Source organism: Homo sapiens, chromosome 12 (assembly GCF_000001405.40).
Source record: "Homo sapiens chromosome 12, GRCh38.p14 Primary Assembly".
Classification (NCBI taxonomy): domain Eukaryota; kingdom Metazoa; phylum Chordata; class Mammalia; order Primates; family Hominidae; genus Homo; species Homo sapiens.
In genome coordinates this window covers 22,501,374-22,515,635 of record NC_000012.12, presented here as the reverse complement: position 1 = coordinate 22,515,635, position 14,262 = coordinate 22,501,374, and the positions used below count along the sequence as shown (strand labels likewise).

Here is a 14,262-nt window from a genome sequence, read left to right as displayed (position 1 = left end):
TATGGATATTCAATTAAAGTGCCCATTGATGCTATCTTTTAGTTAGTAACATTTGAAGTACTGCACCTTTATAACTTTAAATAAGTGTTTATATTTTAGGCAGCAAGTCTGGCTCTAAAAATTTGAAAATGGGGTACATTTGAATCTTACAAATTCTTAAGCCAAAAAGGGCAGGCAAGTTAAGTATTTTGAAGACATTAATTAAAAGTTATTAGAATCACATAAAATCCTAAGTTAGTGATTTAAAAAATTTTAATGAATGTGAAGTTTGTAAAGGTTTTGTTAAGTTTTAGACTATGCCTGTTATTTTCATTACGTGGGATAGATGGTCTTGCTAGTGACTTCTCATTTGCTTAGTGTAATTTGTCTGTACATTTTAAAGTTCATTTTTATTGTTATATTTTGCCTCATCATTGCTTTCCTTAGCCTGCATTTTCTGATCATCTTCTGAATCTGCATCTTTTCTCTGCTACTTTCCTCCACAGCACCTTACCCACAGGGACCTAGGATTTACCTGTGTCCCAGCTCCCCCTCTCTCTCTTGTGGTTCCCTTCATCTTAAAAAGTCCTGTCTCCTCCTCTCGGAATCTAGCCTTACCCCTCATCATTCTAGCCTTGTCAGCCCAGTTCTGAGGAAAAGTGTTTCTTTCAGTGAAGAGCTGTTCCTGGCTGCTTCTGGTAGGATCACATTATGTCAGCTTTTTAATCCCTTTATTTTTCATGCTGTAAAAAATTATTGGGTATTTTATACAAGATGCCTTTCTATTATTTTTCTTACTGGTAGTCAGAGTTAAATAATTGGAATTATAAGGATATAATTGAGGATTACTTGATGGCTAATCATGAATATTCTGCCAAATTATTTTATATATTAAAAAATTATATAAGGACATAGATCTGGGTATTTCTAATATTATTAGATTCTTATTACTACAGTTTCTGTTTTAGATGCTTTACTTTCTTTCCCTTCATACCAACTCCATTCACATTGGACCTGTGTCATCATGTTGCTAAACCATATGATTACATTAGTAAATTATTCTGTTTGAATCAGTTTAAGTCTCATTTTGGTGATATTCTTTTATTATCTTTTTTTCTGTCTGTTGCATTAATTATTAAATTTTTCTGCTCTATTTTCTGATATTTCAATTATCACTACAAATTTACATTTTATTTTCTGGCTTTTAATATGCTTCGTATAAAGATCTTAGTTTCATTTCTATGTTTAGTATTGTATAGTCTCTAAAAATAATGTTCAGATTACTATAAGAAAAACCATTTTTTTGTTTTTAGGAACAGAATGGGACTATACATATGCTAACCTTTGTTTCCTTATCCAAGAACAGCTAAAAATGTAAAAGTTAATTAGTTCCTTTTTAAGTCGTTGTGGTAAATTTGGCTGTATGCATCTTACGTTTTGAAAGGGATGGGATTAACTCTAGTCTGTAGAGCACTGGCTTCTTACCTGTCCCCTGCTTTCTATGATTGTTTGACCATAGTTGATCTACTGGCATGGTCAGAACAATAAAATAAGGTAGGGAAAGAAATTTAAAATTAAGCCGTAAAAAATACATGTAAGAGCTTGGGAAAGATAATTCTTTCATTCATAACTATGTACATTTGTGATGTGTCTATTACATGTCTGTGGTTTTTTGTTTACTTAAAAAAAGTTTATGTTGATTTTTGTGAATGAGCGTTGACATGTATGAAATTAATACTGTTTTGTCATGATATGTTTAGAAATGGGAAGTTATAAGAAAATAGATTTGACTATATTTCAGACTCACCTGAATTTTATGTTTTCTAGAGAATTTTGGAATATTTTCAGTGAGCACAAGTAGTGCTTTTGTCTCTATATTTACATTTAATCAGACATTTTATATTTCTCATTTGTTAGTATTCTTAAATTGTTAGCATAGTAATTGTTATTATCTTGATTATTTTAATTAAAAGACTCAGCTTTTAAAATGGAATATTATGCAAAGATTCATCACCTTTACATACTTTTTCTTATAATTTTCTGAAAAAATTAAGTCCAAAACTAGCTGGGGTCAGTAGGGCTCTGACATGTTGCATCTAAAGAAAACTGTGAATAAAAGTAGAGTAAAATATGTGCTTTATTTGTCATCCCCAGTGCTTTAAATGTTTCGATCATTTTATCACATTTCAACTCATGATGTTTATGAAGATGAATGCAATTAAACTTTGTTTCTATAGTTGCTTTTTTGGTTGTTATTTATGTACTGATGTTCTGTAGGAATGGGAAGTGGTAGTGCTGGAAAAGAAGGGGGGCCCTTTAAAGCTCTTTTAAGACAACAGACTCAATCAGCGTTGGAACAGAGGGTAAGATTCACTTGATATTCTTTGTTCTTACACTGTTAATATGACTTTGTTATCTTATGCTTCCATGTACTTGCATGTTTTCATGAACTGTTTTGGTTACATATCTATAATATTGCAGTTTTGAAGTCCAAAATGGATTTAAGGTGTCAAAGTAATTTGTTTATGGATAATTACTGTTGATTTGGAATAATTACGTAATAATAATTTTTGTCTTGTTTAATCTTTTATCAGAAATACTATTTTTGATAATACCTATTGAATGCTGAAGTAATTTTCCATTACGTTTATCATTGGAAAGGAGATGGTAAACATTTTGCAGAAAAAAAATTCCAGTAGCATTTTATTATATTAAAAATAATTCCTTAGAATATAAATATATTTATTTGCTGAGATTACTTTTATCATTGACCAATCTCTTAGGAATAAGAAATGTACAGATTCTATATTTCTAAAGATTAATATAAATAATGTGGTTATTCAGTATAATGCATCTATTTCAGTTATTGTAAGTTTGAGATTTAGCTATATTTGTTCATTGGGAAAATAAGCAGTTACAGTTTTTGGATGATTTCTCTCTCTCTCTTTTTTTTTTTTAAATAAACTTCATTGCTAAGGGAGGATCGCCTCATAGGTTCTGTAGAAGGCGGGTATGTTTCTGAAAAATGTGTGAGAGCCTATTTCTTGTATTGATAGCTTTCTAGTTTTAATCTTGGTCATTTAAATTTTATTTAATCTTAGCAAATGTTGACAGCGTTTTTCTTTTCGTAATGCAAAGTTTTTTTTTTATTTAATAGCACTGTGAGACTCATGTTCTTTTTTCTACTAACTAATATGGTGCATGTTATATATGTCATGTCAGTAATTTTAAGACATAGTTCTATAGCTTTCATTATGTCTGATTTGGAAGCTATAAGCATTTACAGAATTTTCTTTTACATGTTCTATATTACACTAGCATTTGGGGGAAAAAAGGTGAAAGAGTAAATACCTGTAAAAAGGATACATTTCATAAAACTAAAGTATTTCTCCTCTAGAGGTTGGTACGATTTATTTTCTAGACTTTTCCCTCCTTATGCTGACAGTATCTGTGTATGCACTGTTTACCTAGAGAAGGCTGAAGAGAGCAGAGCTGAACTAAGCAATGATGAGGCTTTAGCTCATTTTTTGCTTCATGCTCTATCAAGCAGCAGTTACCTTCCAACTACTCTCGCACCTTGCAGGCAAACCTACAACTGCCACCAAAAGGCCCACCTAAACATTCAAATCAGCTATTAAAACCAAATATAATAAAAGACTGAAAACGTTGAAGAGGGTCAGAGTGAAGCTGTGTGTGTGTGTCCACTTACCATTTTTTTTAGGCCAGAATGCTCTTTTTCCCTGTCCCATTATTATGTTCTCTACAGAGTTTTTCACAAGAGGAATATGCTTGCTTATAATGAAATTACCATTCTGGAATTCACATCAACAGAAAAATGTGGGTTCCCTTGAAATTCGATATAATAAGATTTTACTTGTATGTTGTGCCTGTGACTTTATTGTCTGTACCAAGAATCTTTAAAAACCATCTCACTTTAAGGGAAAAAAATATTAAGCAGTGAAAACCATTTTGAATTAGTTTGGATAAAATTTGTGTTTTCAGATATGCATTTAAACATTCTTAAAATTTTGGACACATTTACACATTGGACATAGATTACTAAATAAACTTCATGGAATTAACAGTAAAGGTGTAGAGAACTATAGTTTTCATTTACAACCTTGTCAGTCCTGAGTTGGCAGTACATCTATATCGCCTGTCCTCGAAGTAGCAGTTACTTAAGTTTATGAGAGTACTTCTCTACCTTGTGTACAAAGTAAGCAGCCAAAGCATTATCATCTTTGGCTTTCCTATTCACTTGCGACTGCCATTAGTATGGTTTCTGTTTTGGGAAAAGCAAGAAGTATGAAGAATTCTCTCCATATGTGTTCAGATATGACTTAATTCTGCTAATCTGAACACTAGATTATGTCACTGACATGATCTACTTATATGATGTTTTATATTCCTTTCTTTAATATTCGTTTCTATCCCTTTGGTAAACCACCCTTAATAAATTATATGGCCTTTTTTTTTTTTTTTTCTTGAGGAAAGAGAAACTTTATTTGCCCAATCTCTTTTACGGATTATTCAAGTAGTAGTTGTCAAAATTGAAAGTGTTATTCTTTACTCCACAGAAGCATTGCTAGGTTTTCGGGAGATGAGAAATAGAGATAAAAGTTTTATTTAGATTTAAGTTCCACCTATGAATTTTTTGATGTAAAGTAAATAGATATTTAATTAATTAATTAGGAGAGAGCCTCTCTCTATGATGCCCAGGCTGGTTTCGAACTCCTGGGCTCAAGTGATCCTCCCATCTCAGCCTTTTAGAGTGCTGGGGTTAGAGGCATGAGCCACTGTGCTCAGCCAGATTTGTTTTTCAATAAGACTTTTATTTTACCTGTGAGAAAATATGGAAGTACTTTTTTAGTTCCTTCAGTCAAGAAACCTAGTGAACTTAGTTTAACCTAGTATTTCGCAAGTACATTTTACCATAGAACTTTCCTTTTAAAATACCTGTTAGTGAGGAACACATTTTGGGAAACATTGATATAAGGTAAACTCTTGAAGAATTTTGATCTTTTTAGAAGTGGGAGTAAAATTGTACAATAAACCATGGCAGAAATCTGTTATGGATTTTATATCTAGAAAGTTTAGTCTTTTGCAATAATAAAAAGAGTATTTGATTTAAAGAATAAACTATTTAAATAGCTCCTAAGAAAAATCCTATTTAAATCTCTTTTTAAAAGAATACTCCCATTGTGCTCTGATGATTTTTCAACTAACCTGTCTTTGAGCACACACTATTAAATATTTTTATGCTGCCTGCCCTTGGCTTATGTCAAAGCATCAGCATGTAACTTTATCTAGGTACCACAGGGAAAGCTACTTTAAATATGAAGACTTCTGGAGAAAATTTCTTCTGCAGTTCCTGAAATTCACATCTAGACATTGAAAGCGGGATGTGCTTGTGCTGATCTTAAGGAAGCTATTCTCTTTTTTTTTTTCATTGAGATGAAGTTCTGTTCTTCTTGCCCAGGGTGGAGGGCAATGGCATGATCTCAGCTCACTGCAACCTCCGCCTCCAGGGTTCAAGCAATTCTCCTGCCTCAGCCTCCTGAGTAGCTGGGATTACAGGCGTCCGCCACTACAACTGGCTAATTTTTGTATTTTTAGTAGAGACGGGGTTTCAGTATGTTGACCAGGCTGGTCTTGAACTCCTAACCTCAGGTGATCCACCTACCTCAGCCTCCCAAAGTGCTGGGATTACAGGCGTGAGCCACTGTGCCCGGCAGAAGCTATTCTTTTAAACAGAAGAAAAATCTATAAATTCATCAGGTGTAATAAAATCAAATCCTTAACTCTAAATGACAGTGAAACCAGATGATAAAGTTTGTTGCTTATAAAGAATCTAGGAATAAAAGGCCCTTTTGACTTCAGTTTTTCATATAAAAAATGGAGATAATAGTACTTCCCTCATATGGGAAAGGTTATACAGCACAAGCTACAGGGCCTGGCACATAGAAGTACTTGACAGTAGTTGCTAGTTATGGTGGTGATGATAGGTACTTAACAATCTGCTATAGATTTCAGCAGTAGCTCTTCTCATGAGAGAATTGTATGAAGACGGAGTTTTGGTTAAATAACAATGACATTTTTATTTATTATAGGTTAAATTTTGTGTTTTAGAGTGAATTGGTGTGCCGATTAGGTGAACTGGGGACATGTGAGGTGGAGAGTGGGTCGTGGCCTCAATGGGCAGCCATCGCCCTGTGTGTTTCTTTCTGACCAGCTCTAGTACAATGCTTGCCCTCGTTTCTTTATCCCAAACAAAGAACTTTGGGGAGAAGGGTAAAGAACCCTGAATTGAGAAGTCATTTAGGTTCATTTATTCATACTTATGTAAAATCTTATATGAAAATATTTTCTAATACATAATTTACCTATTTCTTTAGAAGGAAAAAGGAAGTACTATCTTCCATTTAGCTTACAAAAATGTTATTTTCAGTATCTCTTGTCTAGATATTTAAAAGATTTAAGGCTGGGCGCGGTGGCTCACGCCTGTAATCCCAGCACTTTGGGAGGCCGAGGCGGGTGGATCATGAGGTCAGGAGATCGAGACCATCCTGGCTAACAAGGTGAAACCCCGTCTCTACTAAAAAAATACAAAAAATTAGCCGGGCGCGGTGGCGGGCGCCTGTAGTCCCAGCTACTCGGGAGGCTGAGGCAGGAGAATGGCGTGAACCCGGGAAGCGGAGCTTGCAGTGAGCCGAGATTGCGCCACTGCAGTCCGCAGTCTGGCCTGGGCGACAGAGCGAGACTCCGTCTCAAAAAAAAAAAAAAAAGATTTAAGTATAAAGATTACATATAAAGTGATTTTTTATTCTGTGAGACCACCACATGCCTCAGATATTTTGAGGAAATATTAAAATTTAAGTGATCCTAACACTGAAAAAAAAATCTGAAAGACCTAACTACATTATTAATAATATAAGCTTACCTATACGTTTCTCATTTAAAACTCACATTTACAAAGTTCAAATGTACTTGCTCAGTGATTACCGAACTGTTTTCCCAACTTCTTTCTTAATACTTATATTGTGTAATTACCCCGTGTGTGCTGTGCCTAACAATAAATCCATTCGAATATTTTTATGACTCAAAACTTCATTTACATTCAAATTTCCTAATAATAAATATGAATTCATTATGAGGTAATCCTCTAGTTTGTACAATTTTTATTAGATTTCCAGGAACAAAACTTAGAGGACAGAAAAAGAAGTTTAAATGGAAATAAGGATGCATTTTGACTAAACATATTATAATACATTTATTATAAGTGACGTACTCTCCTTCCATCCTCTTCCTTATTTTCCCTCTACCTTTCTGCTGGGCTATACCTAACCACTTCCATAGACCAGTTTTTTACTCTTTTCTTACATAGCATAGATTTTTCTTTCTCTTGTTTAAAGATTACTTCTAAATTTGAACTGAATTTATTTCTAAATAAATTTTAGAAACTTTTTTATACTCAACCTTCATGGGTTACTGAGGTGCACAGGACTGATAGCTTTTGTGCAAAATGATTCCAAGTTGCCGTGCTTTGTGATCATGCTTTTGTGAGTTTGTATTCTCCATGCTTGAAGCAGCCAGTGAATAATTCTTGCTGCTTTTAATAAGCCTGCTTCTGGTGGTATTCTGTATCTCTTTACCAGCTTTTATTTGTTGCATTTAATCTGAGGTGGTCTTGAAAATGAGATCATGATAAATTTTAGAGTTGTTTCTTTTTAAGATAAAAATTTATAACTACTATAATATAGTATGAATATGATCTGTGGGAGTCTCCTATGAATAAAGTATATGAGCTTTAGAGCTTGAGACCGTAACAGTTCTTTTGACCGTTGAGAGCCCTGTTTTGCTTATTTTTCTCAATTATGCTCAATTATGTTCTAAATAGCTGAGGCTACTGGTAAGTGATTCCAGTTAAGTGAGCTACATTAATCTTGCAGCCAGACAGGTCAAACATCAAGTTTTCCTTACTTGCATCCAATTTGTGTAATGTGAGGGGCCTCCATGTTTTCACAGGAGCTCCGTTTTCTTATTGGGTCCTATTTCAATGAATTTCCTTTCTTGGCTTTTTCATTTGTCTTTTTTGTGTTTCTCTTTGTCTCTAAGTTGATGAATTTTATTCTTTAAGAGAGAAGGATAGAATAAAGCTTGCAAGAACTTGTGGAATTTTATTGCCTTCCTAGCTGTTATCTATGTACCTTTCAACTTTCCTTAATGTACCTTTATGCACTTGTATTTGTTCCTGCCACATTGGTGTTGATAGAGTAACCTCACACAATGATTCTCTACCCATCTCAACTTGATATTTGCCACTATCCTCTTTCTCTTAACCCACACTGCTTATCCTCTCACTTATCCTCCTTTGGTCCCACTTTCATTTAGATCCCTTGGCCCCAGGTTTTTAGAGTCTTTACCAGTGTCTTATACTGGGTGTTCATGTGAAGGGGGTGTCTAAACCACTGATAGATAAAGGGGAAGAGGGATAGGGCAGTTCCCTCATCTCATTGAGAAGTTCCATCAGAGTTGGAGATTCAGAGGAAGGAAGAGTGTGTTTCAAATATCTTAAATTGAAGGAACACTTTTTTTTTCTTCATTGAGAACTGATGAAATGGGTCTTTGGATTCTGTATAACATTGTATATATGGGGAAATGGATTTGAAACTCTAAACATTTAATTAAACTTTTAATTACAAAGCATGTGTGATGTGTAATGGGTGGCCTTTTATTTCAAGGGATGTAATACAGTTGCTATGGCAAGCTTTTTAATAAGCAAATTTTTTACACTCTACACACGATAAGTTGTATTTTTCCCTTATTCTTTCCACTAGGAATTTCCATTTTTTACCTTGACGGCATTTCCTCCTGGATTCCTTGTACACGTTGGGGGTGTAGTTAGTGCACGTTCTGTGAAGCTTTTGGATCGTATCCACAATCCTGGTATGTTCTTAAAAAGTTTCAATGTTTCCTTTATTTAAATTGTGGTTATTAAAATTGATTTTTATGATTTTTTTAAAGCCAAATCTAACTGAAAAGAGAAATGAAAAGAAAGTATAAACTAGCACGTTACTTTAATATATTTGTAGTCATCTTAATTATAAATAAACTAAGTGTATTTTAGTTACTTTTCTGTAAAAAACCAATTGATTTATTTTTGGTCACAATATCACTTTAAGGAAATCCTTAAATAACTTTTCTTTGACCCAGGGGAGATAAACATTTTTATAAATTGACCATTATGGCCATTAGTTTAAGATGTTAGTTCTTTTCATTAGCAGTAGCTTTTTATAGATTACTTATTTTCCTTGTTCTTAAAACAGGTATTTTTAAAAATGTAATTGTAAAGCTGGGCACAGTAGCATGTGCCTGTTGTCCCAGCTACTCAGGAGGCCGGGGCAAGGAGGATCGCTTGAGCCCAGGGCAACATAGCCAGACTTGGGCAACAACCTGGGCAACACAACAAGACCTATGTAAACACTGTGGGTGTCATAGGAACAGATAGGTAGCAGAGGGAACCAAACCAGTCCATGGGTCAAAGACCCTCTTGCTGAGCAGGCTACTGGAGCTGTCATTTCTTAGAGCTCATTGTGTAACTTGAACACACTGGGACTGTCTTTGACCACGGCCACCTGTCCCCTCCAGTCTACCCAGGCAGCACTCAGGAGACACAGAACCCAGATCCCAGCACTGTGCTGGGATTCCACTCTGTCATTGGTGGAATCCAGCATGGGCAACAAAGTAATTGTAGGCGTTGTCTAGAGTAGCTAAGAATTGAAAAACAGATGAGCAAACTAACATCTGGTCCTTCAGTTTCTTTTATGTAGCTATTTGTTATGTTTAAGCAAACGAGTAAGAATAGTAGCTTACTTCTTTAAAACATAGGACCATAATTATAAAAGCGAGTAGGCATCAAAGTCCCACTGGATTCAGGCCCTTTGATCAGAAATCCTCTGGTGATTTTTCTACGTCTAAAATAAGCATGATGAATAGTGGGAACTTTCCATATGGAATGTGTTCTTGCATCTCTCATTGACTAGATGCTCAATCAACATACATTAAACCTGAAGTTATATTAGTATTCTTATTTGGTGTATAGACGTATATATTTTTGAAAATTTTAAATTGTCACATCCAGTGACCTCTTTGTGAGGCTTGTATTGACAGCTATAAAAAGAAGGGTGGCCGGACACAGTGGCTCATGCCTGTAAAATACTAAAAATACAAAAATCAGCTGAGCGTGGTGGCAGGCACCTGTAATCCCAGCTACTTGGGAAGCTGAGGCAGAGAATTGCTTGAACCCGGGAGGTGGAGGTTGCAGTGAGCCGAGATTGTGCCACTACACTCCAGCCTGGGCGACAAGAGCGAAACTCTGTCTCAAAAAAAAAAAAAAAAAAAAGAAAGAAAGAAGGGTAAAAATGCTTTGAAGTTATTGGACCAAAATATTGTAGATAATGACTATTTTTGAGGATACAGAGCATTACTATTTTTTAAAATTTTTTTAAAGTTTAATTTATGCCCTGTAGTTTGATGTCATTTGAGTTTATTTCAGAGAAGAAGACTAGAATTCTCTGGACCCTGAATGAGATTTCAGAAAAACAGTGCGAGTCAGGATTATTTAACTCTAAAACTGGGCAAATGCATCTTCTAAGCACTGGTTTTCTCTTTTTTTCCCCTTCTTTAGTTTTTTTTCCCCCCGTTTCTTATTTTTGTGGTCAATATAAGATGTTTTCTCCATTGTAGTATTTGTGTACAGTACTTAAGAAAAATTCAGACTGATGCCAGTTTAATGTATTGGGATCTTGAAGACTATGCCAAATTCTATATCTTTGTGTTAAGGAACTTGAATTATTTGGAAAATGCAAGGAAATACTGAGTTAAAATACCTGACATCACCCTTGTGACCCAAGGCTAGTTACCTGTGTTTCTATGGACCATTGACTCAAATATTTTAATAGATGGCACCCACTGATCTGATAGTTCGAAACATGGTTTCAGGAGTATATTTAATTACTAGATGTCTTCTGCTTACTGAAAAACATTTTGGGCTGGGCACGGAGGCTCACGCCTGTAATCCCAACACTTTGGGAAGCCAGTTTGAGGCGGGTGGATCATCTGAGGTCAGGAGTTTTGAGACCAGCCTGACCAACAAGGTGAAACCCTGTCTCTACTAAAAATACAAAAATTAGCTGGGCCTGGTGGCAGGCGCCTGTAGTCCCAGCTACTCGGGAGGCTGAGACAGGAGAATTGCTTGAAACCGGGAGGCGGAGGTTGTAGTGAGCTGAGATCGTGCCACTGCACTCCAGCCTGGGCAACAGAATGAGACTCCTTCTCAAAAAAAAAAAAAAAGAAAAAAAAACATTTTGATTTTATTTTGTTGCTTCCATGTACTCTGAGTAAGCTATAGAGTCTGGGAGAACAGGTGAAGTTTACTTAAATAAGTTTAAGTAGAGAGTTGTATTTAAAATGTCACTACTTAAAAAAAAAAACGAACTGCATTTTGGGGTTTATTTTATGTGCCAGTTCATGCTAATTGTGCAAGAAATGTAAGAATCCAGGCCCAGGGAAGAAAAGAATGATTCCTATTACAGAATGTGTTTTGTGTATTGTAACTACCAGCTCACCCATTCTCTGCCTTTCCTCCCAGTTTAGAGTATTTTCTCAGCTCACATTTAGAAATTCTCAGTTATTAATGGATTATTTCCCAAAAGGTCATGGACATATACATATAAGTGCTTTCAATGGCGTATGAGTTATATTTTCATTTTGTTTTATTTTTAGTTAAATATGTGTAATTATTCTAATGGTTCTAATATTATTTTGATTTAAAGTATCACATTCTGACTGGGCACGGTTGCTTACACCTGTAATCCCAACATTTTGGGAGGCCAAGGCGGGCAGATCGCATGAGCTCAGGGGTTTGAGACCGGCCTGGGCAGCATGGTGAAACCCTCTCTCTACCAAAAATACAAAAACTATCCGGGCCTGGTGGTACATTGTCTGTGGTCCTAGCTACTTGGGAGGCTGAGGCAGGAGGATCACTTGGACCCTAGAGATGGAGGTTGCAGTAAGCCGAGATCATGCCACTGCACTCCAGCCTAGGTGACAGAGGGAGACTCCATCTCAAAAAATAAAATAAAATGTCACATTCTTCGGATTGTTTTATGTATTATTACGCACTAAAAAGGAACATTTTCTTGAGAACATTTACTGATCTCCAGGCCTCTTAAGTAATTATTTATGAAGAAATTTTAATATATTGAAGAAAAGCTGAATGTTGAAACAAAACAAAACTCTAGATTAACATCTACCGTAATGATGATGTTTTAATTTTGTGACACTGAGTTCCTCTGCTGAGGGAGACTTAACGATGGATTGAGATGCATGTGCTAATGTTAAAAATGTTGTGTTTGCATTCTCAAATGAGTTTTGCAGCTATTTTTTGACCGGTGAATATGGGAAATTTTTGTTTCATTCTCACTATAGAAGGGAAAAAATCTTATTTTAAAACCACTACCACCTGCTAACTATGGATTATTATTTTGGAGGCTTTTTTAAAGAACATCCTCCTTTGGTAAATATTGAGCAAACGGGTGACTACAACAAGGGAAAGAATGGGGTGGTTTTAAAAATCAAGGTAATTAAATAATTAGATTAGTTAATGTTAGATTACTATAGCATGCTCCTTTCCCCCTTTCTATTTCTACTTCTTATTAACTCTGCTGTCTATGTCTTTCCAGTTCCTGTCGAGTGGTGTTGTCAATTGCGTTCTTGTTTGTAGTGTTTTTTGTTTTATTCCTACTATTCTGCACCTAAAACTGATCTACTAATTTGCTGTTTTGAACTCAGCCTTTGTCGGAATTATGGGTAACACAAGATCTTACAAACTGCTAGACTGGAATAGTTTCAATTCAGGTATTTTAATGGTCATTCAGTACTACATATGCTGACAAAAATTATGGCAGCTCAGTGAAGTTTTTAGAAATGTTCTAGATGAAGTAGGTTTAAGGTCAATTCAGTTATACAGATAATATTCTGTGCTACGTATGTAATAACTCTTGTAATTTCAATGGAAATACAAATATAAAAATGTGTTAACTAAAATGAATTAATGAAAGCCATAGAAATACCATAAATTATCAATGACTTTTCTTAGGTGATTAACTTCAGAATGATCATTTAAAATTATATTTATTACATTTTGGATGGTTTTCTATATCAGGTAAATGATGTAGGCATTAGCTTTAAGATTAAGCAAATATTTGTTAAATATAAGTAATGTTTCATAAATCTAAAAATAAAGTATATTTAAATGCACATTTAGATTTGAATAGATTTAGTGTTCTATAGGCTACTGTAAAAGTGTAACTGTTAGCATTTTTATTTATAATTCTAGAAGTGTTCCAAAATTAGATAACTAAGAATAGACTTTTTGGGGATTAACAGCTTTCTTAAACTTTCCTCCTTCCCTTTCCACATGTGAATATAATTTTTAAAAAGTAATTTTACATATGAATGTAGTTTGTAGCTTTTAAATAAACAGACTACGATAGTGAGCTTTACAGCTGATGATGTGTTTTAGAGTCAAAAGTAATTAATTTTTTTTTTTGATAAAAACATAATGTACATTTCTAATTGTTTATATTATATTTTTTAGAATGAAATAATACAACCATTTTGATTCAGTGTCAGAAGCTGGTATGTTGCCTAAAGAAATTTTTCAGTTATTTGTCTCAGAAAGTATATCTTACAGAAAAGCAAAGACGCCACGGGGCTCAGAATTTTAGATAATATCTCATAATCTTTTCAATATTGTAAACTTTTTTTTGTTCTTAGGAGTTCAAGATGTAAGTTTTGATGTAAGTAATGCATGTTTGACTATGAAGTAAATCATGTTCATCATGTAGATTTACCTAAATTCAGTCTGGTAAACCATATGATAAGTCCAACATTTACAGATGTAGATTGATATCAATCGGTAAATCCATAGGGAAATTTCCTATCCAAGTTTTTACCAGCCTGCTGTCATTGATTAGAATTGAAATGATCATTTGTTAGTGTAATATTTTGTAATTGTTTTTTAGTGAGAAATTGAAAAATACTTTCCTAGGTTGATTTCTTAAGAAATTTTAAAACATAGGCAGATTAGTATAGTGGAAAGATATATAGAAAAAGGACATTGAGAGCATATTGACCATTAATAATATAAGGAACTGAAATCTTGTCAGGGCAAAGATGTTTAGGGTGAGATGTGTGTTGGTCAAATGATAGAACAGTCTT

At 34.5% G+C, this 14,262-nt stretch overlaps 1 protein-coding gene across 35 annotated transcripts in view, besides 1 other annotated feature; it reads left to right on the top strand.

Moving 5' to 3' along the window:
* C2CD5 (C2 calcium dependent domain containing 5) overlaps positions 1–14,262 on the top strand; it is a 95,960-nt gene that overhangs the window by 28,907 nt on the left and 52,791 nt on the right. For 16 of the 35 annotated variants that reach the window (NR_169598.1, NM_001385330.1, NM_001385329.1 and 13 more), the window contains 2 exons: positions 2,257–2,342; positions 8,817–8,925. Coding sequence is in view for 32 of the 35 variants with exons in the window: in NM_001385330.1 (NP_001372259.1) it covers positions 2,257–2,342; positions 8,817–8,925 (195 nt within the window). In the remaining 3 variants the exon portion in view is untranslated. Of the gene's footprint in view, positions 1–485; positions 678–2,256; positions 2,343–2,956; positions 2,990–8,816; positions 8,926–12,831; positions 12,898–13,818; positions 13,842–14,262 lie in introns of those variants that run through there. The other 19 variants (XM_017020269.2, XM_017020266.2, XM_017020265.2 and 16 more) reach the window with 7 other exon arrangements.
* Positions 9,407–9,701: a silencer, noted in NCBI's record as "tiled region #11196; HepG2 Repressive DNase matched - State 9:DNaseU, and K562 Repressive non-DNase unmatched - State 24:Quies". NCBI's record gives its function as "represses a minimal TATA promoter and a strong SV40 promoter by Sharpr-MPRA in HepG2 and K562 cells {active_cell/tissue: HepG2 | K562}" and the evidence as "EXISTENCE:reporter gene assay evidence [ECO:0000049][PMID:27701403]".